The 25,798-nt window shown below is 46.4% G+C and overlaps 1 protein-coding gene across 4 annotated transcripts in view, besides 12 other annotated features; it reads right to left on the bottom strand.

Moving 5' to 3' along the window:
• Positions 1-25,798, bottom strand: part of PLCG2 (phospholipase C gamma 2) — a 223,645-nt gene that overhangs the window by 144,258 nt on the left and 53,589 nt on the right. The window lies entirely within an intron of this gene.
• Positions 1,028-1,077: an enhancer, noted in NCBI's record as "active region_11216". NCBI's record gives its function as "activates an Ori minimal core promoter by ATAC-STARR-seq in GM12878 lymphoblastoid cells {active_cell/tissue: GM12878}" and the evidence as "EXISTENCE:reporter gene assay evidence [ECO:0000049][PMID:35858748]".
• Positions 3,061-3,110: an enhancer, noted in NCBI's record as "active region_11215". NCBI's record gives its function as "activates an Ori minimal core promoter by ATAC-STARR-seq in GM12878 lymphoblastoid cells {active_cell/tissue: GM12878}" and the evidence as "EXISTENCE:reporter gene assay evidence [ECO:0000049][PMID:35858748]".
• Positions 7,063-7,382: an enhancer, noted in NCBI's record as "active region_11214". NCBI's record gives its function as "activates an Ori minimal core promoter by ATAC-STARR-seq in GM12878 lymphoblastoid cells {active_cell/tissue: GM12878}" and the evidence as "EXISTENCE:reporter gene assay evidence [ECO:0000049][PMID:35858748]".
• Positions 7,473-7,562: an enhancer, noted in NCBI's record as "active region_11213". NCBI's record gives its function as "activates an Ori minimal core promoter by ATAC-STARR-seq in GM12878 lymphoblastoid cells {active_cell/tissue: GM12878}" and the evidence as "EXISTENCE:reporter gene assay evidence [ECO:0000049][PMID:35858748]".
• Positions 8,063-8,182: an enhancer, noted in NCBI's record as "active region_11212". NCBI's record gives its function as "activates an Ori minimal core promoter by ATAC-STARR-seq in GM12878 lymphoblastoid cells {active_cell/tissue: GM12878}" and the evidence as "EXISTENCE:reporter gene assay evidence [ECO:0000049][PMID:35858748]".
• Positions 9,543-9,652: an enhancer, noted in NCBI's record as "active region_11211". NCBI's record gives its function as "activates an Ori minimal core promoter by ATAC-STARR-seq in GM12878 lymphoblastoid cells {active_cell/tissue: GM12878}" and the evidence as "EXISTENCE:reporter gene assay evidence [ECO:0000049][PMID:35858748]".
• Positions 9,943-10,002: an enhancer, noted in NCBI's record as "active region_11210". NCBI's record gives its function as "activates an Ori minimal core promoter by ATAC-STARR-seq in GM12878 lymphoblastoid cells {active_cell/tissue: GM12878}" and the evidence as "EXISTENCE:reporter gene assay evidence [ECO:0000049][PMID:35858748]".
• Positions 10,033-10,142: an enhancer, noted in NCBI's record as "active region_11209". NCBI's record gives its function as "activates an Ori minimal core promoter by ATAC-STARR-seq in GM12878 lymphoblastoid cells {active_cell/tissue: GM12878}" and the evidence as "EXISTENCE:reporter gene assay evidence [ECO:0000049][PMID:35858748]".
• Positions 10,153-10,222: an enhancer, noted in NCBI's record as "active region_11208". NCBI's record gives its function as "activates an Ori minimal core promoter by ATAC-STARR-seq in GM12878 lymphoblastoid cells {active_cell/tissue: GM12878}" and the evidence as "EXISTENCE:reporter gene assay evidence [ECO:0000049][PMID:35858748]".
• Positions 19,384-19,993: an enhancer, noted in NCBI's record as "active region_11207". NCBI's record gives its function as "activates an Ori minimal core promoter by ATAC-STARR-seq in GM12878 lymphoblastoid cells {active_cell/tissue: GM12878}" and the evidence as "EXISTENCE:reporter gene assay evidence [ECO:0000049][PMID:35858748]".
• Positions 20,264-20,683: an enhancer, noted in NCBI's record as "active region_11206". NCBI's record gives its function as "activates an Ori minimal core promoter by ATAC-STARR-seq in GM12878 lymphoblastoid cells {active_cell/tissue: GM12878}" and the evidence as "EXISTENCE:reporter gene assay evidence [ECO:0000049][PMID:35858748]".
• Positions 20,734-20,783: an enhancer, noted in NCBI's record as "active region_11205". NCBI's record gives its function as "activates an Ori minimal core promoter by ATAC-STARR-seq in GM12878 lymphoblastoid cells {active_cell/tissue: GM12878}" and the evidence as "EXISTENCE:reporter gene assay evidence [ECO:0000049][PMID:35858748]".

Genomic DNA, 25,798 nt, shown 5'->3' with positions numbered 1-25,798 from the left:
ACAGGAACAATGAATGGAACAAACAGCCCCCTTTCAAAGAGCTGACAGTCTGAGAAAGAGAGACATTAAATGCCCACATAAATATAAATAACCACCATATGACAATGCTCCCAAAGAGAAGAGCACGATGGAATGAGAGACTAATGGGATGTCCTCCAGAGGGGCAGGAAGTGAGGAGCTGACTGAGCCACAGACTTGATCAGGCAGAAAGGACCTCACCAGTGAGGAAACTGAGGCACAGAGGGCCGAAGCAATCCTAACGGGAGTAAGAGCTTAACACACTAGCTGGCTGAATACTCACGAGAGCCCTGTAAAGTAGGTGTTGTAATTCTCACTTCACAGATCAGGGGACACGAGCCGACAGAGAGGAAGTGACCGAGCCCAGGCCACATGAAAGGAAGGAACAGAGAGTAGATGACAACCAGGTCTCTCTAATCTTGCCCCTTCCCTCCCAGAATCTGTCTTCTCCTTTGGGTCTTTGCTCTCAACCCCAAGTGTTCACTTAACCCCCTTCTCCCCGAAACAGTAAGGAACGTGAGAACATGTTCATAAGCACAGGGAGCTTGTCTCATTTTTGCCTACCCTGGCCTGGGCCTGACATGTAATAACTTATCAATAAATGTGTTAAGTGAAAGAATCACAACCGAGTGCAGGGGCTTATGCCTGTAACCCCAGCTCTCTGAGAGGCCAAGGGCATGGGGGTCGCTTGAGTCTGGGAGTTTTAGACCAGCCTGGGCAACACAGTGAGACCCTATCTCTACTTGAAATTTTAAAAATAAATAGATAAAATAAAATAATCACAAGGTACCCTCTGATGTTCTACATACATCTTTGTCATCTTCTGGAAGGCCAGGTGCAGTTTGAGGGCTCTTGTTTTATCACTTGTGTTTACTGAAGCTGTAGCAACACCAAACACAGCTGACAAAAGGCGTTTAAAACCACCCTAGTGCCTTGCGCAGCACCCCTCAAGACGATGCACTCCAGCGTGCGCAACAAAAGCGAAACTCCTTCTCAAAAATAATAATAGTAATATCAACATCTAAAACAGCTTTCTGTTTTTAGTGGAAGATAGGTGCTTCACACGCACTAATTCATTTTACCTTCACAACTGCCTCACGGCACAGGTACTAATATTATTCCCATTTTATACATGGGGGATGGATGCATAGTCCTTCTCCACCTAGAGGATTCTTCCCATCGGATCTCGGCCTAAATATCAGCTCCTCAGAGAGGCCTTTTCTGACCACCCATCATGTGCGCTCTTCCTGTCCCTTGTGCTGACTTCGCTTGTAAAGAGAGGGCTTTGTCTTCACCTCCCTGTTTACCATCCGTCTCTCCCCACCAGCCTTCAAAACTCACAAGAAGGACACTGTGATGGTTGTGCCTCTATTTCCCCAGCATCTAACGCATCCAGTGCCCGTCACCTTCTGGGCAATAAATGGGTAACTGTGCAATGGGCATAGGAAAAAAAGCCCAGCTCAGAGAAGACTCTAGACCAGCTAGAAAGAGGCAGAACCGGATGTGGCCCCAGGTGCCTGAGTGTTTTCCCACTAATGATAACAGCGCAACCGCACTTTCAGTTCTTGCTTCTGGACATCAGGACCTTGGGAGTAAGTCATAATTTCTGGCTGGGCACCGTGGCTAATGCCTGTAATCCCAGCATTTTGGGAGGCTGAAATGCGAGGACTGCTTTAGCCCAGGAGTTTAAGACCAGCCTAGACAACATAGTGAGATCCCACCTCTACTAAAAAAAAAAAAAAAAAAAAAAAAAAAAAATTAAAATTAGCTGGGCATGGTGGTGCATGCCTGTAGTCCCAGCTACTTGTGAGGCTGAGGGAGGAGGATCATTTGAGCCCAGGAGGTCAAGGCAGTAGTTGAGCTGTGATTGCACCATGGCACTCCAACCTGGGCAACAGAATGAGACCGTGTCTCAAAAAAAAAAAATTATAATGAGGGAAAAGGTCTCCTTCTCAGACTTGCCAGGTCACCCTTTTCATGGTCCCAAAATAGGATATGCCAGATAGTTCAGTATCTGAAGCCTAATTTATTTGTTTTTTGAGACAGGGCCTTACTCTGTTGCCCAGGCTGGAGTGTAGTGGCACGATTTGGACTCACTGTAACTTCCATCTCCCAGGTTCAAGCAATTCTCCCACCTCTGCCTCCCAAGTAGCTGGGATTACAGGCATGTGCTGCCACACCCAGCTAATTTTTATATTTTTAGTAGAGGCAGAGTTTCACCATATTGGCCAGGCTGGTCTCGAACTCCTGACCTCAAGTGATCCTCCTGCCTCAGCCTCCCAAAGTGCTGGGATTACCGGCATAAGCCATCGTGCCTGTCCGTGAAGGCACATTTTTTTTTTTTTTTAAAGATGAAGTCATGCTCTGTCACCCAGGCTGAAGTGCAGTGGCACAATCTCGGCTCACCGCAACCTCCACCTCCCGGGTTCAAGCAATTCTCTTGCCTCAGCCTCCTGAGTAGCCAGGATTACAGGCGCAAGTCACCATGCCTGGCTAATTTTTGTATTTTTAGTAAAAAACGGGGTTTCACAATGTTGGCCGGGCTGGTCTCGAACTCCTGACCTCAAGTGATCCGCCCACCTTGGCCTCCCAAAGTGCTGGGATTACAGGCGTGAGCCACTGTGTCTGGTCATTTAAGACTGCTCAATTATAGCGCACTTAAGACCTACAAAGGTTTCCACCAAGAAGACCGCGAGAATCGAAGAAGCCACCACCTGCATGGGAACTGGAAAAAATCAGGCAGGATTTTCCCATGCTCAGACTCCCAGCAGCTGAAGAGGGACTTGTGTTCTGAGTGGCTTTTGAGCCCCCATGGCCTCTGAAAGGGCCAGGAGAACTTCAGAACAACAGGCTGAGTAGTCAACAGAGCCCAGGCAGGGCAGGCTGAAGAAGAAAACAGCCCCCAACCATGGCAGTGTTAAAGATGCAAATGAGGAAGCCTCTAGGGGGTGGTCTCTCAGCCCCTGCAGTTTCCCGCTGGAAAGACAGGGTCCCTGGGATACACTCTAAGACTGTATCTTCACCTCTGGGAATCAGAGGCTCAGCTACACAGAAGGATCTCACTGTGTTGTGTGGCTGCCAACCTGCTGAGGCTGAGACCCCTTGGTGAGGACTGGGAGACCCATGCTCTAGCCTGGGCCCACCAGGGAGAGCTGGGAACCCCCTCCCTTCACTGTCCAGTAAGGCCCCATATGCAATAAAACCTCCTCCCTTCGCATAACCACCCTCTGCATGAAGAGGCGTTCCAGAGCGTCATATCACAGGTGCTTCATTTTAAGCCTAAATTCCCCAATTATCATTCCTTCCATAACTCAGGAAAAAAAGGAAATGTTTAAAAGTTAACTTCAGCAACTCTGGTTTTGCCTTGGAAGATTTGTCAGGCTGGAACAGCCACTGGAACAAGCAGTCCTGATAATAATAAAAGTAACTTCTTATCGCCACCATCTCCAGCAGCTGACGTTTAGTCAGCACTTACTCTAGACAAACCCTGTGCTACAAACCTAATGTGTATTGGCTCATTTAATCTTTATCCCAACTCTATGGGGAGAGGATCATCATAATCCCCACTGCAGAGACAAAGAAACTAAGGTTCAGAGAGGTTAACTCCCTGTGGTCACACAGCAAGGGAACAGTGAGACAGGACAAAAGCCTTGGGTCCTTGCTCTCCATTCTGCCTGTGCTTCATGTCCCCCAGGGTGTCTTTTTTTTTTCTTTTGAGACAGAGTCTCGTACTGTTGCCCAGGCTGGAGTGCAGTGGCATGATCTTGGTTCACTGCAACCTCCACCTCCCGGGTTCAAGTGATTCTCCTGCCTCAGCCTCCCGAGTAGCTAGGATTACAGGCACATGCCACCATGCCTGGCTAATTTTCGTATTGTTTTAGTAGAGATGGGATTTCACCATTTTGGCCAGGCTGGTCTCGAACTCCTGACCTCATGTGATCTGCCCGCCTCAATCTCCACAAGTGCTGGGATTACAGGCATGAGCCACTGCACTCAGTCCCCATGGGTACCTTTCAATCCAATCCCGGCTACACCCCACCTCGCAGATCCTCCACTCCTAAACATTCTGACCCCAGACTATATCTCTGCCCCTGTCTCAGCTCCTGAAGCACTGCTAAAACAGGCAGGTCCCCTGAGAAGACCTTATTACCTATTGAGGAGAACAGTGAAATAACCAGAAAACAAGCAAAAAGACAGCCTATCCTTCAGACCCGGTACCATTCCCCTCCGCTGTATCTTAAGACATTTATATCCTAGCCCCAAAGTTTGGCACTAACACACAGACCCCAGCCTGGGTTCCCAGCCCCTTATCCTCTCTCCTTATGGAGGGCAGCCTTCTAATATCCAAGTACCAGACCTGCCTTCTAGATCACTCAACACACCCAAGGTCAAGGCTCAGAGAGATGCCCCTGAATACCATGGTCTCCATCTCTGGTGGATTCACGATAGCCACAAACTTCTTCCCATCAACAGGTAGAATCTATTTCCCTTCCCTGTGTCAGGGCTGGCCTTGTGACTTCCTTTTAACACAGCAAAAGCTTCAGGCTTCTGCTTTCTGTCCCTTGGAAGCCATCACAGAGAAGACTAGCTACTATGAGACCACCATGCTGTAAGGAAGCCCAAACTAGCCACAGAACAGGGAGAGACGCTGCACAAAGGAACACTGGTGGCCCAGAAAGCTGCCTGGGAACTTCCAGCCTGGCCATCCAATGAATATATTCAGGTAAGGGACTCCAGGCAACACCAAGTGAGACAGAACAGCAAATCCACTGACTGAGCTCTGCCCAAATTCCTGACCCACAGAATTGTTGTTTTAAGCTCCTGTGTTTTTACACTGTTATAGAAAAATCTCCTTCAGCTGATAAGCAATTTCAGCAGAGTCTCAGGATACAAAATCAATGTGCAAAAATCACAACCATTTCTACACCATGACAGACAAACACAGAGCTAAATCATGAGTGAACTCCCATTCACAATTGCTACTAAGAGAATAAAATACCTAGGAATACAACTTACAAGGGATGTGAAGGACCTCTTCAAAGAGAACTACAAACAACTGCTCAAGGAAATAAGAGAGGACACAAATAAATGAAAAAAGATTCCATGCTCATGGACAGGAAGCATCAATATGGTGAAAATGGCCATACTGCCCAAAGTAATTTATAGATTCAATGCTATTCCCATCAAGCTATCATTGACTTTCTTCACAGAATTAGAAACTACTTTAAATTTCATATGGAACCAAAAAAGAGACCACATAACCAAGACAACCCTAAGCAGAAAGAACAAGCTGCAGGCATCATGCTACCTGACTTCAAACTATACTACAAGGCTATGGTCAACAAAACAGCATGGTACTGGTACCAAAATAGATATACAGACCATTGCAACAGAACACAGACCTCAGAAATAACATCACACATCTACCACCATCTGATCTTTGACAAACTTGACAAAAACAAGCAACGGGGAAAGGATTCCCTACTTAATAAATGGTGTTGGGAAAACCAGCTAGCCATATGCAGAAAACTGAAACTGGACCCCTTCCTTACACCTTATACAAAAATTAACTCAAGATGGATAAAAGACTTAAACATAAGACCTAAAACCATAAAAAACCCTAGAAAAAAACCTAGGCAATACCATTCAGGACATAGGCATGGGCAAAGACTTCATGACTAAAACACCAAAAGCAATGGCAAAATTAACAAATGGGATCTAATTCAGCTAAAGAGCTTCTGCACAGCAAAAGAAACTATCATCAGAGTGAGCAGGCAACATACAGAATGGAAGAAAAATTTTGCAATCTATCCATCTGACAAATGGCTAATATCCAGAATCTACAAAGAACTTAAACAAATTTACAAGAAAAAACAACCCCATCAAAAAGTGGACAAAGGATATGAACAGACACTTCTCAAAAGAAGACATTTATGCAGCCAAGAAACGTAGGAAAAAAGCTCATCATCACTGGTCATTAGAGAAATGCAAATCAAAACTACAATGAGATACCATCTCATGCCAGTTAGAATGACGATCATTAAAAAGTCAGTAAACAACAGGCCGGGTGCGGTGGCTCACGCCTGTAATCTCAGCACTGTGGGAGGCTGAGGCGTGTGGATCACGAGGTCAGGAGATCAAGACCATCCTGGCTAACACGGTGAAACTTCGTCTCTACTAAAAATACAAAAAATTAGCCAGGCGCGGTGGCAGGTGCCTGTAGTCCCAGCTACTCAGGAGGCTGAGACAGGAGAATGGCGTGAACCCAGGAGGCGGAGCTTGCAGTGAGCTGAGATAGCGCCACTGCAGTCCAGCCTGGGCAAAAGAGCAAGACTCCGTCTCAAAAAAAAAAAAAAAAAAAAAAAAGTCAGGAAACAACAGATGCTGGAGAGGATGTAGAGAAATAGGAATGCTTTTACACTGTTGGTAGGAGTGTAAATCAGTTCAACCATTGTGGAAGACAGCGTTGCAATTCCTCGAGGATCTAGCACCAGAAATACCATTTGATCCAGCAATCCTATTACTGGGTATAAACCGAAAGGATTGTAAATCATTCTACTATAAAGACACATGCACACATATGTTTATTGCGGCACTATTCACAAGAGCAAAGACATGGAACCAATCCAAATGCCCATCGATGATAGACTGGATAAAGAAAATGTGGCACATATACACCATGGAATACTATGCAACCATAAAAAAGGATGAGCTCATGTCCTTTGCAGGGACATGGATGAAGCTGGAAACCATCATTCTCAGCAAACTAACACAAGAACAGGAAACCAAACACCACATTTTCTTACTCTTAAGTGCGAGTTGAACAATGAGAACCCATGCACACAGGGAGGGGAACACCACACACTGGGGCCTGTTAGGGGTTGGGGGACTAGAGGAGGGATAGCACTAGGAGAAATACCTAAAAAAAGAAAAAAGAAAACGGAAACATCATCCTGAAACCAGTTCCCAGCCTAGGGAATCCATCATCTTCTCAGGTGACTAACACTGGGAATGGCCTTCCCTTTTGAGTCCTGAACCCCGACGTGCAAAACCATCCCTTATCGATGATACTGCCAACCAAAGTGCTCATAACTGAGCACTAACCTAAAGGTTTTACATACCCGATCTCTAGTCTTTACACCCACACACGAGGAAGGTACCACCGGTGTGCCCATTTGACAGATGCAGACACTGAGACCCAAGGAGGGAGTCACACAGACAGAATGGGAGACTCAGGAGGCAAGCCCAGGCTTGTTCAACCCCAACACTGCTGTCATACGTGGTGCCATATGACCTTCCCCAGCACACTGAACACCTCAGGGTCATTCCAGGAAGTGCACACTCATGTCCCTCTGGTACACAGGTTAAATGTGGCCTTAGACCACAAAGCACAGCCACTAGGGCCAGGAAGGCCACTGTTAGATCAGTTTCGCTGCTGTTCCCTGGGCTGCTTCTCAGGTGCATAACCTCCCTTGGTGCCTCTTAGAGAGGGAAGCAAAAGTTACCTTCATTTTCGTTATAAATATAGTCATGTACAAAATTATTTGATCAATGTTGTGCTTGCCTCTCCCACTAAACAATAAGGTCGATGAAATTAAAGACCCTGTCTCCTTCTATCAGAACTCAATACAGTGCTTTGCCCTGAGCAAATGATCCATAGATAGTCACTGAATAAATCAATAACAGGAAGAATGAATTAATGAGAAATAAATGCACTTTGCTCAGGGCCATTTTAAAGAGCAACATCACCAGCAAAAAATAAAAAGAAAGAAATTGCAGAAAATAAGGCACTAAGTGGACGGCAGAAAGGACACCTGTTTGCAAAAAGAAAGCTAAAACAGGAAGGCAGAGTGTCATCTTGTTTGACCTCAGCAGGGCATGTGTGAATGGGTGACCCAAATTTTTCACCAGTCTGCATCACCAAGAATGACCACAGAAGGGCCAGAACTACTGGTTTGCAGGTTGCAAATAAGTTGGAGCAGAAAGGCAAATTCACCAATACTGATGCTGCAAATAACGAAGGCCAAGCATAGATGCTGAGAGAAAAACGGTCTCTTATGAGGCTGCTCATGGCCACGTTACGTGTTCTATAGACTAGAGTCGTCTGGGATAGGAGAGAAGCATGGGCTGGGCACGGTGGCTCACACCGTAATCCCAGCACTTCGGAAGGCTGAGGCATGCCACGAGAATCAAGAGATAGAAACCATCCTGGCCAAGATGGTGAAACCCCATCTCTACTAAAAATACAAAATTAGCTGGGCGTGGTGGTGAGTGCCTGTAGTCCCACCTACTCAGGAGGCTGAGGCAGGAGAATCACTTGAACCCAGGAGGAGGAGGTTGCAGTGAGCTGAGATCACGCCACTGAACTCCAGCCTGGTGACACAGGTAGGCTCCATCTCAAAAAAAAGAAAAAAAAAAGGAGAGAACCATGGTGGCAGACAAAGACTGGCAGAAAGATGAAGAGAGCATGGGAAAGGCATTGCATCTTGGATGCTGTGAGCTACACAGTATGCATCTCAGCCACACGTTCCAGTAAATTCTCTTTTTTTGCTTGAGCTGGTTTCTGACCCCACCCCCCGCCCCGGCCAAAAAATCCTGACTCTGCTGAGGGCAGCAATAACTGGGACATCAGACACTCCCTCTAGAATCAGGACAGAAGTGACAAGGCTAGCCAATCAGGGGCAAGAGGAGAAAGACACATGCATAGGCACACACAGGCTCACACACCGCAGGGAACAGAGAAAACAGCAAGTCCCAGGGTGGCCCAAGTCTGGTCCATGTGTTTCCTGACACAGGGTCTAAGTGGGTCTCTGTCTTCATCTGGGTTCCCCCAGAAACAGACTCTGAGGCAAGGATGTACATACAAGGAGTTTATTTGGGGGCTATCCCAGGAATCACTGCAAGGGGAATGGGGTGGTGGACAGGGAAGGAAGCGCAGCAAATAAAGGCTGTGTCATCAAGCTTATTATTCCTGTGAGTAAATAGAGCCGAAGTCCATTGGGGAAGCCTGGGAGTCAGTGCAGAACAAGCCAGGAGTGTCCTGACTGAGGGTGAGGGAGCTGGGGTATTGATCTGCCGATTCCCCACCCAGCCATGCCACCCCTGGAGGCACTAACACCCCAGCACTCCCAGCCTATCCTGCACCACAGGCTAGCAGAAGCCCTCAGGCATAGTCACAGGTGTTTCCAGCAAGTGGCTTGTGGTGTGCAGAGGTGTGTGCTGAGGGGATAAGGTCAGGCCAAGAGTGTCTGCAACAGTTTCAGTTCCCTGCCACAAAAGCAACAAGTCCAAGTCACCATGCTCAGAGAGACCAGGCCTGGCTTAGCACAGGTTCCCACTCTCTCATGAGCTACTCAGAACACACACCCACACTCCTTCCTCACCCCTAGAATAGGAGTATTATATTTTAGAGGACAATGCCTGGTAGACACCACCAACCTCACAGGCAGCAACCTTCATCAGGCAGGTCCAATAGGCCACAAACTACACCAAGCTCATGTCTCCCCTGATCTCATGGGAGCCCCTCCAGCATGCTCTGATAAGCCCCATTTTGCATAGGGGGAAACAGAGGCCAGGCCCACAGAGGCTATGGAGCTTGCTCAAGATTGCACAGTGGTGGCCAGGTGAGGTGGCTCACGCCTGTAATCCCAGCACTTTGGGAGGCAGAGGCAGGTGGATCACAAGGTCAGGAGATCGAGACCATCCTGGCTAACACAGTGAAACCCCATCTCTACTAAAAATAGAAAAAATTAGCCAGGCGTGGTGGCGGGCACCTGTAGTCCCAGCTACTCAGGAGGCTGAGACAGGAGAATGGCTTGAATCTGGGAGGCGGAGGTTGTAGCGAGCCGAGATCATGCCACCGCACTCCAGCCTGGGCGACAGAGGGAGACTCCATCTCAAAAATAAAATAAAATAAAATAAAATAAAAAGATTGCACAGTGGTAGGTGGCAGAGCTGAGACTCAAACTCAGTGCTGTGGGCTTGGGGCCACACAGCCTCTCCAGTACAGTCTCTCAGGACCCTCCTCCCTCTCTCTCTAAAAGGGTGCCCTGGACATTCTGACCTCAGGACACTGGGGATTCACTTCTTTGGAACTTAAGGGGAGGGGTTTGCCTCCAAAACAGCCAACAGGCCTTGGCAAATGCAAAACAGTGTAGCCCCGTTGGAAAACAGGCTGGTGGTGCCTCAAAAGGTTAAATGTAGTCACAAATGCTTAAATGAATGGTTACTGCATGGCCCAGCAATTCCACTCCTAGGTGTACACCCAAGAGAAAGGAAAACACATCTACACAAAATCCTGCATATGAATGTTCACAGCAGCACTATTCATAATAGCCAAAAGGTAGAAACAACCTAATATTGTTTGCATATCTGTCTCCGCAGCAGTCTCATGTTGAATTGTAACCCTCAGTACTGGAGGTGGGGTCTGGTGGAAGGTGACTGGATCATGGGGATGAATTGCTCATTAACGGTTTTGCACCATCTCTTGGTGCTGTCCTTGCAATATTCAGTGAGTTCTTGAGAGATCTGGCTGTTGAAAAGTATGTGGCACCTCCCTCCCTCTCTCTCTTGCTCCTGCTTTCTCCATGTCACATGCCAGCCCCGCCTTCACCTTCCACCATGATTGTAAGCTTCCTGGGGCCCCTCCAGCCATGCTGAACTGTGAGTCAATTAAACCTCTTTCCTTTTTATATTACCCAGTCTTTGGTAGCTCTTTATAGCCGTGAGAACAGACTAATACAGTGACCCTGGGCTATGCCTCAATGTTCTCATCTGTAAAATGGAAATAATGCGTATTGAACACATACAGTTGTGGAATTAAGTAAGCAATAATACAGGGAAAGCTCTTAGAGCTGTAACAGGTACATAAACATATACTACATAAATGTCAGCTCTTATGGTGGCGTTAGTGACAGTGATGACAATGATGACGATGTGGGGGCTTGATGGGCTTCCTGCCTTGTATGAAGCTGAAAAAATGCTTCAGCCTGAAACCAGCTCTTCCTTTGCAACTTGGATCTCAGATCCAGAAGGCAGAGCCCAGGATCTGAGAAGCCCATCCTCCTCAGTGCCCTCCTCGCAGAGATGCACACTGCCCCAATCCCTCAAGCCTGCAGAAGGGTTACCAAGGCACCCTGCCCTTTCTTGGGTCCCAGAGCTGACCTCCCTCTCCTGATGTAGGAGGAGGACACCGCTGGGACAAGACATGGGGAGCTGACCCTGTGAAATCACCACATGAATCACCACGTTCAACAAGATAAGCCTCTGCTGTGAGGTCTCCACTGACCACCTGGAGAAGGAAATGCATTGAACAGACTTGAAACATGACCTAGGAAGCCTTGGCGAGAAGGTAGAATGGACGACTCAGGAGAAAGCCAACCAGAGCAGCCCGAGGGGCCATATCAGTCATCCGTCATCCACTGCAAACTCTCCCATGGCTCCCGGCTCCCTGGAGGAAAAGCTTGAGTGCTATGGAGGCCTCCACAGCCCTGGGTCATGTGACCCCTGCTTCCTCCCCATAACTCTGCCCCCATCACCCTGCTTGGCTGGCTATCCCCAGAACATGCCCCACCTCGAAGGCTTTGTCCTGGCCATTCCTGAAGCCCTCAAAACACTTATCTACACAGCCCACTCCTTCAACTTTTCCAAGCCTTTGCTCAAATGCCAGCTTCTCAGTGAGGCCTTCCATGTCCCCAGCCCCACACCTGGACCCTCATGATCCCCCTTTCAGCATTCTATTTCTTTCCATATATAAAAATTTACTCAGTTACAACTTACAAGACACGAATCACATGTCTGCAGGCTATCCTATGATCATGTAATGGTGCAGACTCCTACTCTCAATGGTCATGAAGCTCCCTGGCCACAAGCTGAGCAGTGCTGCCTGGGTCAAAAGCAACCCCCAAGAAAGGTTCTACTGTGATTACCCAGTAATCTGCAGAAGTACAGCTGGCACTGGATGCTCGGGCCCAGCAATCAGATGTCACACCTAAATCTAGGACAGATGGCAAAGCTGGTAGACACACTTCCACATTTTCAGTCTCTGTGGGAAATTAAAGCTACCTGATCACACACACAGGGAGCACCACTATGATGATCATAGTACCTGCCACATGGAGAATGCCTTTGCTGCTTGGGGACCACGGAAGCAGGTAATGCAAAAGGACAAAAGAGGTATAATCTAGATCTGTGCTATCCAATATGGTAGCCACTAGCCACATGTGGCTTTTGAACACTCAGAATTGAATCTGTCTGAATCAAGATGTGTTATAGGTATAAAACACACACTGGATTTTGAAGACACAGACCAAAAACCAGAATCAAATATCTCGTTAATAATTATATTGCATACATGTTGAAATAATAATGCTTTGGATATACTGAGTTAAATAAAATTTATTAATAAAGTTAGTTTCACCTCTTTTTACCTTTATGAATGTGGCAACTAGAAAACTTTAAACTACACACATGACTGCGTACAGTGGCTCACACCTGTAATCCCAGCTACTCAGGAGGCTGAGCTGGGAGGATCACTTGAGCCCAGGAGTTTGATTCACTTCACCCAGAACAAAATCCCATCTCTATTTAAAAAACAAAACAACAATAACAGCAAAAAAAAAAAAAAACAAAAAAAAAAAAAAACAAAACAAAACACTACTCTCATGGCTGGTATTGGTGACTCACACTGTATTTCCATTGCACAGCAGTGGTCCAGAAGCAGCCAGCTTTGGCTACTGCAGGATGGAGACATGGATGGCAAAGCATTGTGAGTGGGGTGGGGGAAGGGGGTGTGAGGCATCTGTTCAGATCTTTCGCCCACTTTTTAATTGGGTTGTTTTCTTATTGTTGAGCTTTTGTTTTTGGTTTTTTTTGTTGTTTTCTTGCGTTTTGTTTTTTTTTTTTTTTTTTCTGAGATGGAGTCTCGCTCTGTTACCCAGGCTGAAGTGCAGTGGTGCAATCTCTGCTCACTGCAAGCTCCACCTCCTGGGTTAACGCCATTCTCCTGCCTCAGCCTCCTGAGTAGCTGGGACTATAGGCACCCGACACCACACCCGGCTAATTTTTTATATTTTTAGTAGAGACAGAGTTTCACCGTGTTAGTCAGGATGGTCTCGATCTCCTGACCTTGTGATCCATCCACCTTGGCCTCCCAAAGTGCTGGGATTACAGGCATGAGCTACCGAGCCTGGCCTTTTATTGTTGAGTTTTAAGAGTTGCCTATTTTGGATATGGGTCCTTTATCAGCTCTTGTTTCATAAATATTTTCCCCTATCTGTGGCTTGTCTTGTTAACCTCTTAACCTAAAGGTTTTCTGGCACATGGTGATTGGGGAAAAGTGTCTGATGTTGTTCCTCTGAAAACTTTGGTAACCTTGGGCAAATCACTGAAGCTCACTGTACTTAGGAGTAAACCAGGCAAAACTCACAGACAGATTGTAATGACTAGACACTACAAATAAATACCCATACACATGATCACATGGATACATGTGAGCTTGTAGTGCCCAGCACAATACTGACACATGGCAGATGCTCAATACTGCTCCCAAGCTTTCAAGAACACTCTCTCATCCTGGTGCCAGCAGCACTTCCCAATGACATTTCTCCAGGTTCCTCTTAGGAGGTAACTGATTGCCAAAGAGGAGGCAGAGGAGCTCAAAGTGGACAGTTAGGAAGAAGCATTTCCAGGGCTCTGGGAAAACGGTCACCAAATATACACTCCCTGGGCTGAGGCGTTAAACCTTGAAATGATGAAAAGTCTGTGCTATGCTTCACCGCAACATTTGGACAAACATCTACTGAGGGAACTAAGACAGGTTACTAACTTCAAAAAATGGTCCTTTTGTGCCACAAAAAAAGCAGAAGTGATGGTTAAAATGTATGATTCTTGACTCAAGCCAAGAAGCACATCCTTGCCAATCAGTGTCCATGCCCATGTGCTGCAAGCTAACATATCCAGAGTTGCCTCATTCATTTACGCCCTAGTCAGCACCAACCCCATGCCAGAAGACAATGCTGGGGCCCAGAAAAGTTGAAAATAGGACACTGTCTACAGAAAGCCAATGTTTAGAAGGAAATTATTACATCAACTATTTAAGATAGAGCAATGAGCAATCAGGAAAATGCAAATCAGAACCACAATGACATAACACTTCACCTCCACTAGGATGGTGATAACCAAAAAGACAGATACTAACATGTGTTGGCGAGGACATGGGGAAGTTGGAGCCCTCATACATTGCTGGTGGGAAAGTAAATGGTGCAACTGCTTTGGCAAACAGTCTTGGCAATTCCTTAAGTGATTAAACAGTTACAGATAACCTAGAATTCCACTCTTAGGCAAAGAGCCAAGAGAAATGGAAACATGTGTTCACACAAAAACTTGTACATGAATGTCCACCGCAGTATTATTCACAATAACCAAAAAGAGTCCAGGCACGGTGGCTCATACCTGTAATCCCAGCACTCTGGGAGGCAAGGCAGGTGGATCACTTGAGGCCAGGAGTTCAAGACTAGCTTGGCCAACATAGTGAAACCCTGTCTGTATTAAAAATACAAAACTTAGCCAGGTGTGGTGGTACACGCCTGTAATCCCAGCCACTCAGGAGGCTGAGGCACGAGAATCACTTGAATCCAGGAGGTAGAGGATGCAGTGAACCAAAATCGCACCACTGCCCTCCGGCCTGACCGACACAGTGAGACTGTAGAGAGTAAAGAAAGAAAGAAAAGGAAGGAAGGAAGGAAGGGAGGGAGGGAGGGAGGGAGGGAGGGAGGGAAGAAGAAAAGAAAGGAAAAGAAAAGAAAAGAAAAGGAGAAAAGAAAAGAAAGGAAAGGAAAGGAAAGGAAAGGAAGGAAAGAAAGGAAAGAAAGAAAAGAAAGAAAGGAAAGAAAGAACAAAGAAAATGAAAACAGTAACCAAAAAGAGAGAACTACCTAAATGTCCATCAAGTGATGAATGGATAAACAAAATATGGTCTATCCATGCAATGGAATATTAGTCTTAAAAAGGAATGAAGTGTTGATAATATGCTACAATATGAACGAACCTTATGTTAGGCTAAAGAAGTGAGATGCATCCTGGCTAACACAGCAAAACCCCATCTCTACTAAAAATACAAAAAAAATTAGACAGGCGTGGTGGTGGGCACCTGTAGTCCCAGCTACTCAGGAGGCTGAGGCAGGAGAATGGCATGAACCCATGAGGCAGAGCTTGCAGTGAGCCGAGATCATGCCACTGCACTCCAGCCTGGGCGACAGAGTGAGATTCCGTCTCACAAAAAAAAAAAAAAAAAAAAAGTGAAATGCAAAAAGCCATGTATTGTGAGAAATGTCCAGAATAGGAAACTCTGTAAAGGCAAAAAGTAGATTTGTCATTGCCAGGGATGGGGGAAAGTAAAGTAGAGGTGACTGCTAATGTATAGGATTTGGGGGAAATTATGAAACATTCTAAAACTGATTATGATAATGTTGGTACAACTCTGAATATACTAAAAACCACTTAACAGTATACATTAAGGGGTACATTATAGGGTATACAATGTTTTTATCTCAATAAAAGTATTAATTTCTTTTGCACTTTGGGAGGCTGAGGTGGGTGGATCACCTGAGGTCAGGAGTTCGAGACCAGCCTGATCAAAATGATGAAATGCCGTCCCTACTAAAAATACAAAATCAGCTGGGCGTGGTGGCGCATGCCTGTAATCCCAGCTACTTGGGAGGCTGAGGCATGAGAATTGCTTGAACCTGGGAGGCAGAGGTTGTAGTGAGCTGAGATTGCGCCACTGCACTCCAGCCCGGCGACAAGAGTGAAACTCCACTCAGTCTCAAAACAAAAACAAAAAAAGAAAGAAAACAAATCTATAGGTTCCTCATCAAGAGAAGGTGGTAGGTCAAGGTAGCAGTTACACATTCAATATCACATATCTACTAAGCATCTACTGGGAACACTTGGTAGCAAAAGCTGGAAGTACAGACATGAATAAGACTGTACCCACCTGAGGCCGGGCGCGGTGGCTCACGCCTGTAATCCCAGCACTTTGGGAGGCCGAGGCGGGTGGATCACGAGGTCAGGAGATCGAGACCATCCTGGCTAACACGGTGAAACCCCATCTCTACTAAAAATACAAAAAATTAGCTGGGCGCGGTGGCGGGCGCCTGTAATCCCAACTACTGTGGAGGCTGAGGCAAGAGAATGGTGTGAACCCGGGAGGCGGAGCTTGCAGTGAGCCAAGATAGCGCCACTGCACTCTGGCCTGGGCGAAAGAGCGAGATCCGTCTCAAAAAAAAAAAAAAAAAAAAAAAAAAAAAAAAAAAAAAGACTGTACTCACCTGAAGGAGCTAACTTCTAGTTTTTTCATTCCAGACAGAATGTTGGTGGGCACCTCTGCACAGCCACAGATTTTTTGGAAGCCATTTCAAAATGAAATGTTGGCCAGGTGTGATGGCTGATGCCTGTAATCCCAACACTTTGGGAGGCTGAGGTGGGTGGATCACTTGTGGTCAGGAGTTCGAGACCAGCCTGACCAACATAGTGAAACCCCGTCTCTACTAAAAGTACAAAAATTAACCAGGCGTGGTGGTGTACAACTGTAATCCCAGCTACTGGGGAAGCTGAAGCAAGAGAATCGCTTGAACCCTGGAGGCGGAGGTTGCAGTGAGCTGAGATTGTGCCACTGCACTCCAGCCTGGGTGACAAAGCAAGACACCACCTCAAGAAAAAAAAAATTAAAGAAAATAAAAAACAACTATCTAATATCGAAAAAATGGGAGATAGGTTTTTAAAAAATAAGGTAGAATCCTATAGTAATTTCAAACAATAGCGAAGACGTGTTTGCTGGAATCGGGAGTATCATGATTGGAAACAACCTAAATGTCCAGCATTGACAGGACAGATCAATCTATCGTGCTGTACTGTTGAGTGAAATTGCTCATGGATGTTAAAATAAAGCTACATCAACATGGAAAATCTTCACAAGGTCAAGCAAAAACATGCAAGTTGCTTGAGGGATACACACCACGCAGTGTCTTTTATGTAAAGACCTGCAAAACATATTATATGTTAATCATGGATGAAAATTTTTGAAATGGGAATTATAATTATTAAATCATGATACTGATTTCTCTAGGGAGGGAAGGGTACTTATGAGAACTTAACTATATTTTATTTCTTAAAAACAAAAAAGATCCAAAGCAAACATCACAACTCATCTAAGTTGGTTGCGGGGTTGGGGGTTATTTATTCTCAATCGCTACGCTACTGAATTCCCACATGCATAATAGCTTTACTCAAATTGATTATCTTGCAGCTCTGGAGACGAGCAAAAGTCATGAGTCTCATGGGGCTAAAATCAAGGCATCACTGGGACAAGCTTTCTCCAGACCCTCTAGGGGAGAATGAGTTCCTTTGCCTTTTCCAGCTTGCACAAGCCACCTGCATTCCTTGATTCATGGCCCCTTCCTCCATCTTCAGAGCCAGCTGGTGCCATCTTCCAGTCTCACTCTGACTCTGACCCTCCTGCCTCCCTCCTGCAAGGACCTTTGTGATTTCATCATATCCACCCAGATAATCCAGGATCATCTCCCCATCTCAAGATCTGTTCAATCTGCAAGGAGCATTTTGCCGTATAGAGTAATATATTCACAGGCTCCAGGGATTAAGACAAGGGCATCTTGGGAGCAGAGAGCGTTTATTCTGCCTATCATAGAGGGTTGGAAATAACAATAATAATAATAATAATAATAATAGCAATAGTATCACAATAGCGAAGATAGGGAATCAACCCAAATGCCCATCAACAATAGACTGGATAAAGAAAATATGGTACATATACACCATGGAATACTATGCAGCCATAAAACGGAACGAGATCGTGTCCTTCGCAGGGACATAGATGAAGCTGGAAGCCATCATCCTCAGCAAACTAACACGGGAACAGAAAACCAAACACTGCATGTTCTCAATCATAAGTGGGAGCTGATCAATGAGAACACATGGACACAGGGAGGAGAACAACACACACCAGGGCCTGTTGGGGAGCAGGGTAAGGATGGAGGAGAGCATCAGAATAAATAGCTAATACATGCAGGGCTTAATATCTAGGTGATGAGCTGATAGGTGCAGCAAGCCACGATGGCAAACGCTTACCTATGTATCCCACACATTCTGCACATGTATCCCAGAACTTACAATAAAAGTAAATTTAAACAATAATAATAGCAATAGTAGCTCTTATAGAGTGCTTGGGATATTTGCCAGGTACTATGATACCCAAAGTATGATACATAATTAACTCCCCTAATCCTCATGAGAGTCCAGTGTAATAGGTACCATTATTATCCTATTTTACAGATGAGTGCAATGAAAAGTTAAGTAACTTGTCCATGGCCACAAATGGGATAAGTGGCATAGCCAAGATCTGAACCCAGGCAGTCAGACCCTGGATCCCTTGCTCTTGAGTATGTGGGGTCTGTCATATTATTTTTTAAACCAACATCGACATTTAAAATAGTTAATAACAGGCTGGGCTCAGTGGTTCACACCTGTAATCCCAGCACTTTAGGAGGCCAAGGTGGGAGGATCACGAGGTCAGGAGATCGAGACCATCCTGGCTAACACGGTGAAACCCCATCTCCACTAAAAATACAAAAAAATTAGCCAAGTGTGGTGGCGGGCGCCTGTAGTCCCAGCTACTCGGGAGGTTGAGGCAGGAGAATGGTGTGAACCTGGGAGGCGGAGCTTGCAGTGAGCCAAGATGGTGCCATTGCACCTGGGCAATAGAGCGAGACTCTGTCTCAAAAAAAAAAAAAAAAAATTAATAACAGGCCAGGCTCAGTGGCTTGCACCTGTAATCCCAGCACTTTGGGAGGCCAAGATGGGAGGATCTCTTGAGGCCAGGAGTTCAAGGCTACAGTGACCTATGGTCACACCACTGCACACCAACCTGGGTGACAGAGCAAGACCCTGCCTCAAAAAATTAATTAATTCATTAACTAAAATAAATTAGTTAATAATACTAACATGGTCACAAAGTAGTACAAAATGAAAAAGGCAGATTACTAAAGTACATTACAAAAGGGTCGCATGTTGTGAAAATGTCTTGTGAATAAAGTTTTGTTGGACAAAAAGATTTGGAAGGTGGTACACCAGGTGTTAACACCATCTCTCTGGGTAGGGGGGTGGCGGGGGCTAAGGGGTTGTTTTTCTCACCCAGAAGTAGGTTAAAATGTGTCTACCAATGAACACATAGTACTTCTATAATGAGGGGGAAAAAGCAGTTGTTTTAATTAGGAGAAATATGCAAGGCCAGAGGGAAGCAGCTCAGAGCTGTCTAAACAGGAAACTGGCGTAACGTTCACTCTGCGCCACGCTGGGCTTGGGCCCTTCTTGCCTCCCCAGGGACACGGGCCCTCCTTCAGTCATGCTACTACCTGGTGTAGGGGCTTTTCCCACTGGTGGAGGCTGGTGGCAGGCCAGGGACATCCTGGAGTGGCTGGTAGTGCTGGGGAGAGAGACACCTGGCCGGTGAAATCCAGCCGAAGCAGGAGCAGAGAAGACGCAGTGGGATCCCTGAAGTCCTGAGGCCGGGGAGGCCAGCCCCTCCTCCACCTCTTCTGAGCTCTGCGGGGTCTCCTCTTCCTGCTGCACATGCTCTCACCATGCCTTGCCTAATTTTGCTAGTTTCCATTCTACAAATTAGTAAGTTCCCATTTCCTTCTTTCTCAAAACAGAATCCTTCACACACACAGATACTTCACCTCCCAAAACTCACGCCTACCCCTGGCCTCCAGCACAACTTGTATAGATGAAAGCAGCACCTTACAGCTTCTTCCCAACAGCCCTGTGACAGTGGAGTGGCCCCCAGGCTGTGATGTGGTATCATCACTGTTTCTATTTCCAGAACTTCACCTTCACCCTGTCGACGCTCCTTCTCCAAGCCCAGGCCTCCCCAGCCTCCCAGAAGCACTGGGCTGCTTTTATATCCAGGCTCAGGTCCAAGAGCACTTAACCCCAGAGGACCCCTAGCTGTGTGCTACAGAAGAGCAGGAGGAGGACACCCCCTACACATGCGAGCTATGTCTCAGCCTGTCCCATGTCCCCCACGCAAACACAAATGCAGGCACCTGCTGCCTGAGGAGACATATGGCAGCATGGCTGGGAGGCACCCTGTGTTAAGTACATACTGGACTTGTGACAATCACTTACAAACTGAATCCTCCCAGTGATCTGATGGGGTAAGCTCCACTATTACCCCATCTTATAGATAAGAAAACTGAGACTCAGGCCAGGCGCGGTGACTCACACCTGTAATCCCAACACTTTGGGAGGCCAATGCAGGCAGATCACTTGAGGTCAGAAGTTCAAGGCCAGCCTGGTCAACATGGTGGAACCCCATCTCTACTAAAAATACAAAAATTAGCCAGGTGAGGTGGAGGGTACCTGTAATCCCAGCTACTCAGGAGGCTGAGGCAGAATAATTGCTTGAACCCGGGAGGCAGAGGTTGCAGTGAACTGAAATTGTGCCGCTGCACTTCAGCCTGGGGACAGAGTGAGACTCCATCTCAAAAAAAAAAAAGACAAGAAAAAAGAAAACTGAGACTCAAAGAGGCCAAGTAGATTGCCTAAGGTCACACAGTCACTAAGTGCCAGGACCACGAGTGGAACCACGGTGTATGGTTAAAGAGGAAGTTGTCACAGAGGTGCCCTATCTCAACCCCAGATACTGCTGCCATGGTTAGGAAGAAACCGGAAGTCCGAGGCTGAAAGGGGCAGCCAGGGCCTTTTCCTGATTCATCTGTTAACCAGGTATCTGAGGAGCACCAGCCACAGGCCAGATATGGGCCAGGTGCTGGGAAGTCCCCCTTATGAACAGAACAGACAGGGTCCCTGGCCTCCCAGCACTCTTAGTCTGTGGGTCAGGACTACCGAAGGCCTGGCCCCAAGATCGGGCCTTGCATGAAAGCAGGAAAAGTCAACCCCAGGATTTCTGATTTCAACCCCAAACTGCACAGCACCTAAATCTCTCCCAAGACAAATCAAGACACATAATTTTGCGAGCCTGATATACAAAAACCCGCATTTATATCTAAGACAGACTAGGGGACAGGTAGTGGAGATAATTTTTTTTTTTTCAAAAATGATTCACCAAGGGACATCTTTAACTAGATCCCTCCCCCAACTCAGCACAATCCCTAAGACGTTGGACCTGCACTGACTTGTCAGGAACTCCAAATATACCTGCATTCCCAGAACTTGGTGCTATTTTGAGGGACAAATGCTGCCTCCCTCGTTTACCCACTACACTGTATTCCCTCTTACACCCTCAGGGCCCAGGCCAGAACCAACGCAGCTAGAAAATAACATGACACGTGGAAGAAAGCAACGCCTCTTAAATTCCGTTATGACAAACCACAACCCATCCATAGTATCAGTGGCTGAATGGGTAGGTCAATCCCTGTACTCACCCCGTTGCCCTCAGGCCCCTGTTACATGAGAGTGTATTTGTGTGTTAGGCCTGCCACTCATGAAATACCAAAAATTGGATGGCCGAAACAACAGAAGTTTGTCTCACAGTTCTGGAGACCAGAAGTCCAAAATCAAAGTGTTGGCGAGGCTGGTTCCTCCTGAGGGAGCACCCCTGGTGTTCCTTAGCTTGCAGATGCATGACTCAGATTTCTGTATCTGTCTTCACATGGCCTTCTCTCCCTGTGTCTCTCTCTCCTCTTCTCATAAGGAAACCAGTCATATTGGATTAGGGCCCACTCTATTCCATTATGATTTCATCTCAACTAATTACATCTGCAAAGACCCTCTTTCCAAATAAGATCACATTCTGAGTATGGGGATTAGGACCTTGACATATGAAATTGGTAAGGACAATTCAATCCGTAACAGGCACCCACCACTGCCCACAGCCCGGGAGCCAGACGATGTCCTCTTACAGGAGACCACCTCCAATCCACCCCTATGCCCAGGAAAGGCTGGCCGTGCCAAAGGATACTGATCTCCAAAGCAGCCTGCTCATGTGTGCTGGCTTTAAAAGGCATGGCCCATAGGAGGCCTCTCTCTCAGGGGTCCATCCTTGGGAGGTTGCAAAACCAAAGCTGTCACTGATGTGGCAGCAACAGAAAAAGCCAAGGTTTGGAGACAGTCTGTGCTGGGGAGGGGAGGGCCACATCTGTGAGAGAAACCCAAGAGGGCAGATGAGGCTGTCTAAGAGACATCACCATCAGCAGCTCTAGTTACAGACAGGAAAGTCCTCAGTGCCAGTGGCTCACCACTTCCCTTTCCATGCAGCCCAGCGATGAGACTGTTCATTCTCCTGGATTCCTACAAGACTCCCAAACCCTTACCATCAACCTGCTTATCAGCCTTCACTGGGGCACCTAGAGCTGCCTCTGTACCCTCCAAAATTAGGGGTTACAGAAAAGCCTGGAAGGATGCCCCCCAACTTAGGCCCTGTTCTTCTAGCATGCGGCTAGGGCATGTTTCCCAGCATCCCTTGCACTTGGTCACATGCCAAATTCTGTTCAATAGAAGGTGGGAGGGGGCCGGGCACAGTGGCCCATGCCTGTGATCCCAGCTCTTTGGGAGGCCAAAGCAGGAGGATCACTTGATCCGAGGAGTTCAAGGCTGCAGTGAGCTGTGATCACACCACTGTACTCCAGCCTGGGCAATAAGCAAGACCCCATCTCTTGGGGAGAAAAAAAAAAAGCAGGTGGGAGGAAACAGGTACATCCACTTCAGGTATGGCCCATAGAAACCTCCAACCTCCTGAGCCATCCTCTGCTCTTCCTCTTCCTCCATGCAGTGGTCACACAAAGGATCCTGCGGTAGCCTCCAACACCTTTGGAGATGATAGCACAGAGTCCCATTGTGATCAGACAGCAGAGTCCCACCCCCAATCCCACTGGATCATGATTTGAGTGAGTGAGAGATAAACTTACAGGAAGAAATAACTTGTTACTGCAATTAGGCTACCTTCACTAATAGGAAAGCTTTGTTGCTATGCCCTATGCCAGAATGCTCTCCCCACAGAGCTTCCCATGGCTCCCTCCTTCTCACCCTTCAAGTCTCAGCTCAAACATCACCTCTACAGAGAGGCCACCCTGAGGCCTTCCCCAGCTAGGCTAGTGCTCCTGACTAATGACTCCTTATTACAGTACCCTGTTCCTTTCCTTCCTAGCGTCTATCACGATCCAACATGATTGAATGTGTTAGTCTGACTTTTTCTGCTTTTCCTACAAGATTGTAAGATCCTCTAGAGATCTTCAGGGTCCTGTTCACTACTTTATCCCCAGTGACAAGCACATTGCCCAACACACATCAGGTCCTCTTTGAGTATTTGCTAAATCAACAAAGGAACAAATTCTAAGAACATTCTAAGGTTGTCATCCAGGATAGAAGACAACTCTTGAAAACAAGACAAGCAATTCCTCAGCTATTCAGCATAAGAGAAGGGCTATAGCACCATCAAGAATAAAAATGTCAACTCTACTTTTCACACTGGCATGCTCCAAAGTGGAGGACACATACTCCAGGGGGAGCAGGACAATCCATCGGGTGCAGGAAGGAAAATCCTCATATAAATGGAAAATGTAGTATTTATCCCATCCTTTCTACAATGCCATCTTGCCTTTATGCTGGATGATGATAATGATGACATCAACGACAGCAAGAGCAAAAAATACTTAAGCACATCCTCTGTGCCAGATACTATTGAAGGATTTTACATATATCACGTCATTTACTTATCACAAGAGTCTTATGGGGTGTGTTCTTCAACTATTCTCATTTTATAGATAAGGAAATGGAGGCCCAAAGAGGTGACATGAGAGACCCAAGGTCACACCCCTACCAAGTGCAGGACCAGGATTTGACAGCCCTTCTTTATACCATCACCGCATACCAGTAACTGAAAGGCAAATACATTTATGGACACTTCAGGCATTGGTTGCGTCTTATTTCTGATGAGACGCTTCATTGCAGGGGCTTGGGGACCACCCTCAGACAATGGATTTCTTCTTAGGAGATGCCAGCGAGAAAATAATTCATTTATTATTATTATTAATAGTAATTTCACATTTATTTCAAAAACATTTTGATAAAATAATAACTTTCAAAAATATTCATTTTTTCCATGAAAAGAAGTCCAAGAGTGGATTTCAGGATGAGCCAAAATACAGTAAACTCTCACTTCGGCACCCTTGTCCCCAACAGCCCTTTTCCAGGCTGTGTTTGTGGTCTTTTCCTAGCATCTCCCCACAAATCCGGCGCCTCTAGGATGAGCACTGAGTCTCCTTTCTCTTGGTACCTCCAGCACCTGGCAGAGCAAGTCCTCTGCACACGTAAGGAATTCATGTGTTTCTGTCCTGCTGTCACAAAGAAACTCTAAATGAAGCTGCCATTCTTTGGTCTCAGGCAGGGTGTTTATGACACACAGATCTGATACGTCTTTGAGATCATTTAGGAGAAGAAAACAACACAGAGCAGGAAGAAGACTTGAGACTGAAACTGGGAAGAACAAGTTCAAATTGTAGCTCTGCCCTTTCCTTAACTTGGGCATGTCATCTCATCTCCCCAAGACTCAATCTCTTTATGAATAAAGCAGGGATAGCTCCCCCTTCACTGGACCACTGCGGGGATTAAGGAGTTATCTTTGATGTGCCTTCACAGAGACTAGGACACAGTGAGCATTCATTAGAAGAGGCTCTCATCAACGGTATCACTATTATCATTATTAAGTGGGAACCCCAAGAACCTAATACCAAGGAAACAGACAGCTCATATGTTTGAGAATCCGTCACTCATGGGCAGCCACCACTTGCCACAAATAAGCAGACAGAGAAGATATGCCTAAGCAAAAGTGAAAATGTCAGGATAAAAAGCCTACACAGTTGAGATGGACGCATCCAGGCCCTCAAAAGGGCCCATCACCACAGCCGACCCTAAAATTCCAGACCCACAAACAGGTGGCACCACATCGGCTCCTGAGACAAAATCCAAGCCTTTCAAATGCACAAGATGCAAGAGGACACCTAAGGCTCAACTCAGAAAGGCCCCAGAGCAGACCCCTTCCCACCTGAAGACTGCTCAACTAGGTCCCTCAGAAAGGAAAGAAAACCAACATGCCCAACAGTACCACAAGCTCCCTCCCGACATTCACAGACAACCAGCTCCTTAACTCTATGCAGAAGGCTGGGGATGGAAGGAATCCCAGCACCATCTTATCCAACACCCCTGGAAAGCAATAGGGAACCTGGAGGCCAGGAAGTGAGGTGTTGTGCTTCAGACTCAGTCTTCTCTGCCAGAGGCCAGGCCTTGGGGGTCCTCACCAGGGGGCCTTTTTTCTTTCTGGTCTTATTGTATTAAGTTTCGATTATGCAATATTTCCCACATCTTAAAAAGAACATAAAATAAAATCCATTTAATTCTCACCCAATAAGATAGAAACTACTATTATCTCACTTGACAGATATGGAAACTGAGGCACAGAAATATAACAAAAGAATTAGCTTCCAGTCACACTTCTAGTAAGTGGCTGATATGGTCTGGCTCTCTCCCCACCCAAATCTCATCTTAAATTGTCGTTCCCATAATCCTCATGTGTCATAGGAGGGACCCAGTGGGAGGTAATTGAATCATAGGGCCGGTTACCTCCATGCTGTTCTCGTGATAGTGAGTAAATTCTCATGAGGGCTGATAGTTTTACAAGAGGCTTCCCCCTTCACTCAGCTCTCCTTCTCCTTGCTGCCACCATGTGAAGAAGGCTTCTCCTTCCACC

Source organism: Homo sapiens, chromosome 16, assembly GCF_000001405.40.
Source record: "Homo sapiens chromosome 16, GRCh38.p14 Primary Assembly".
Taxonomy (NCBI): Eukaryota; Metazoa; Chordata; class Mammalia; order Primates; family Hominidae; genus Homo; species Homo sapiens.
This window is presented reverse-complemented; position numbering and strand designations above follow the sequence as displayed.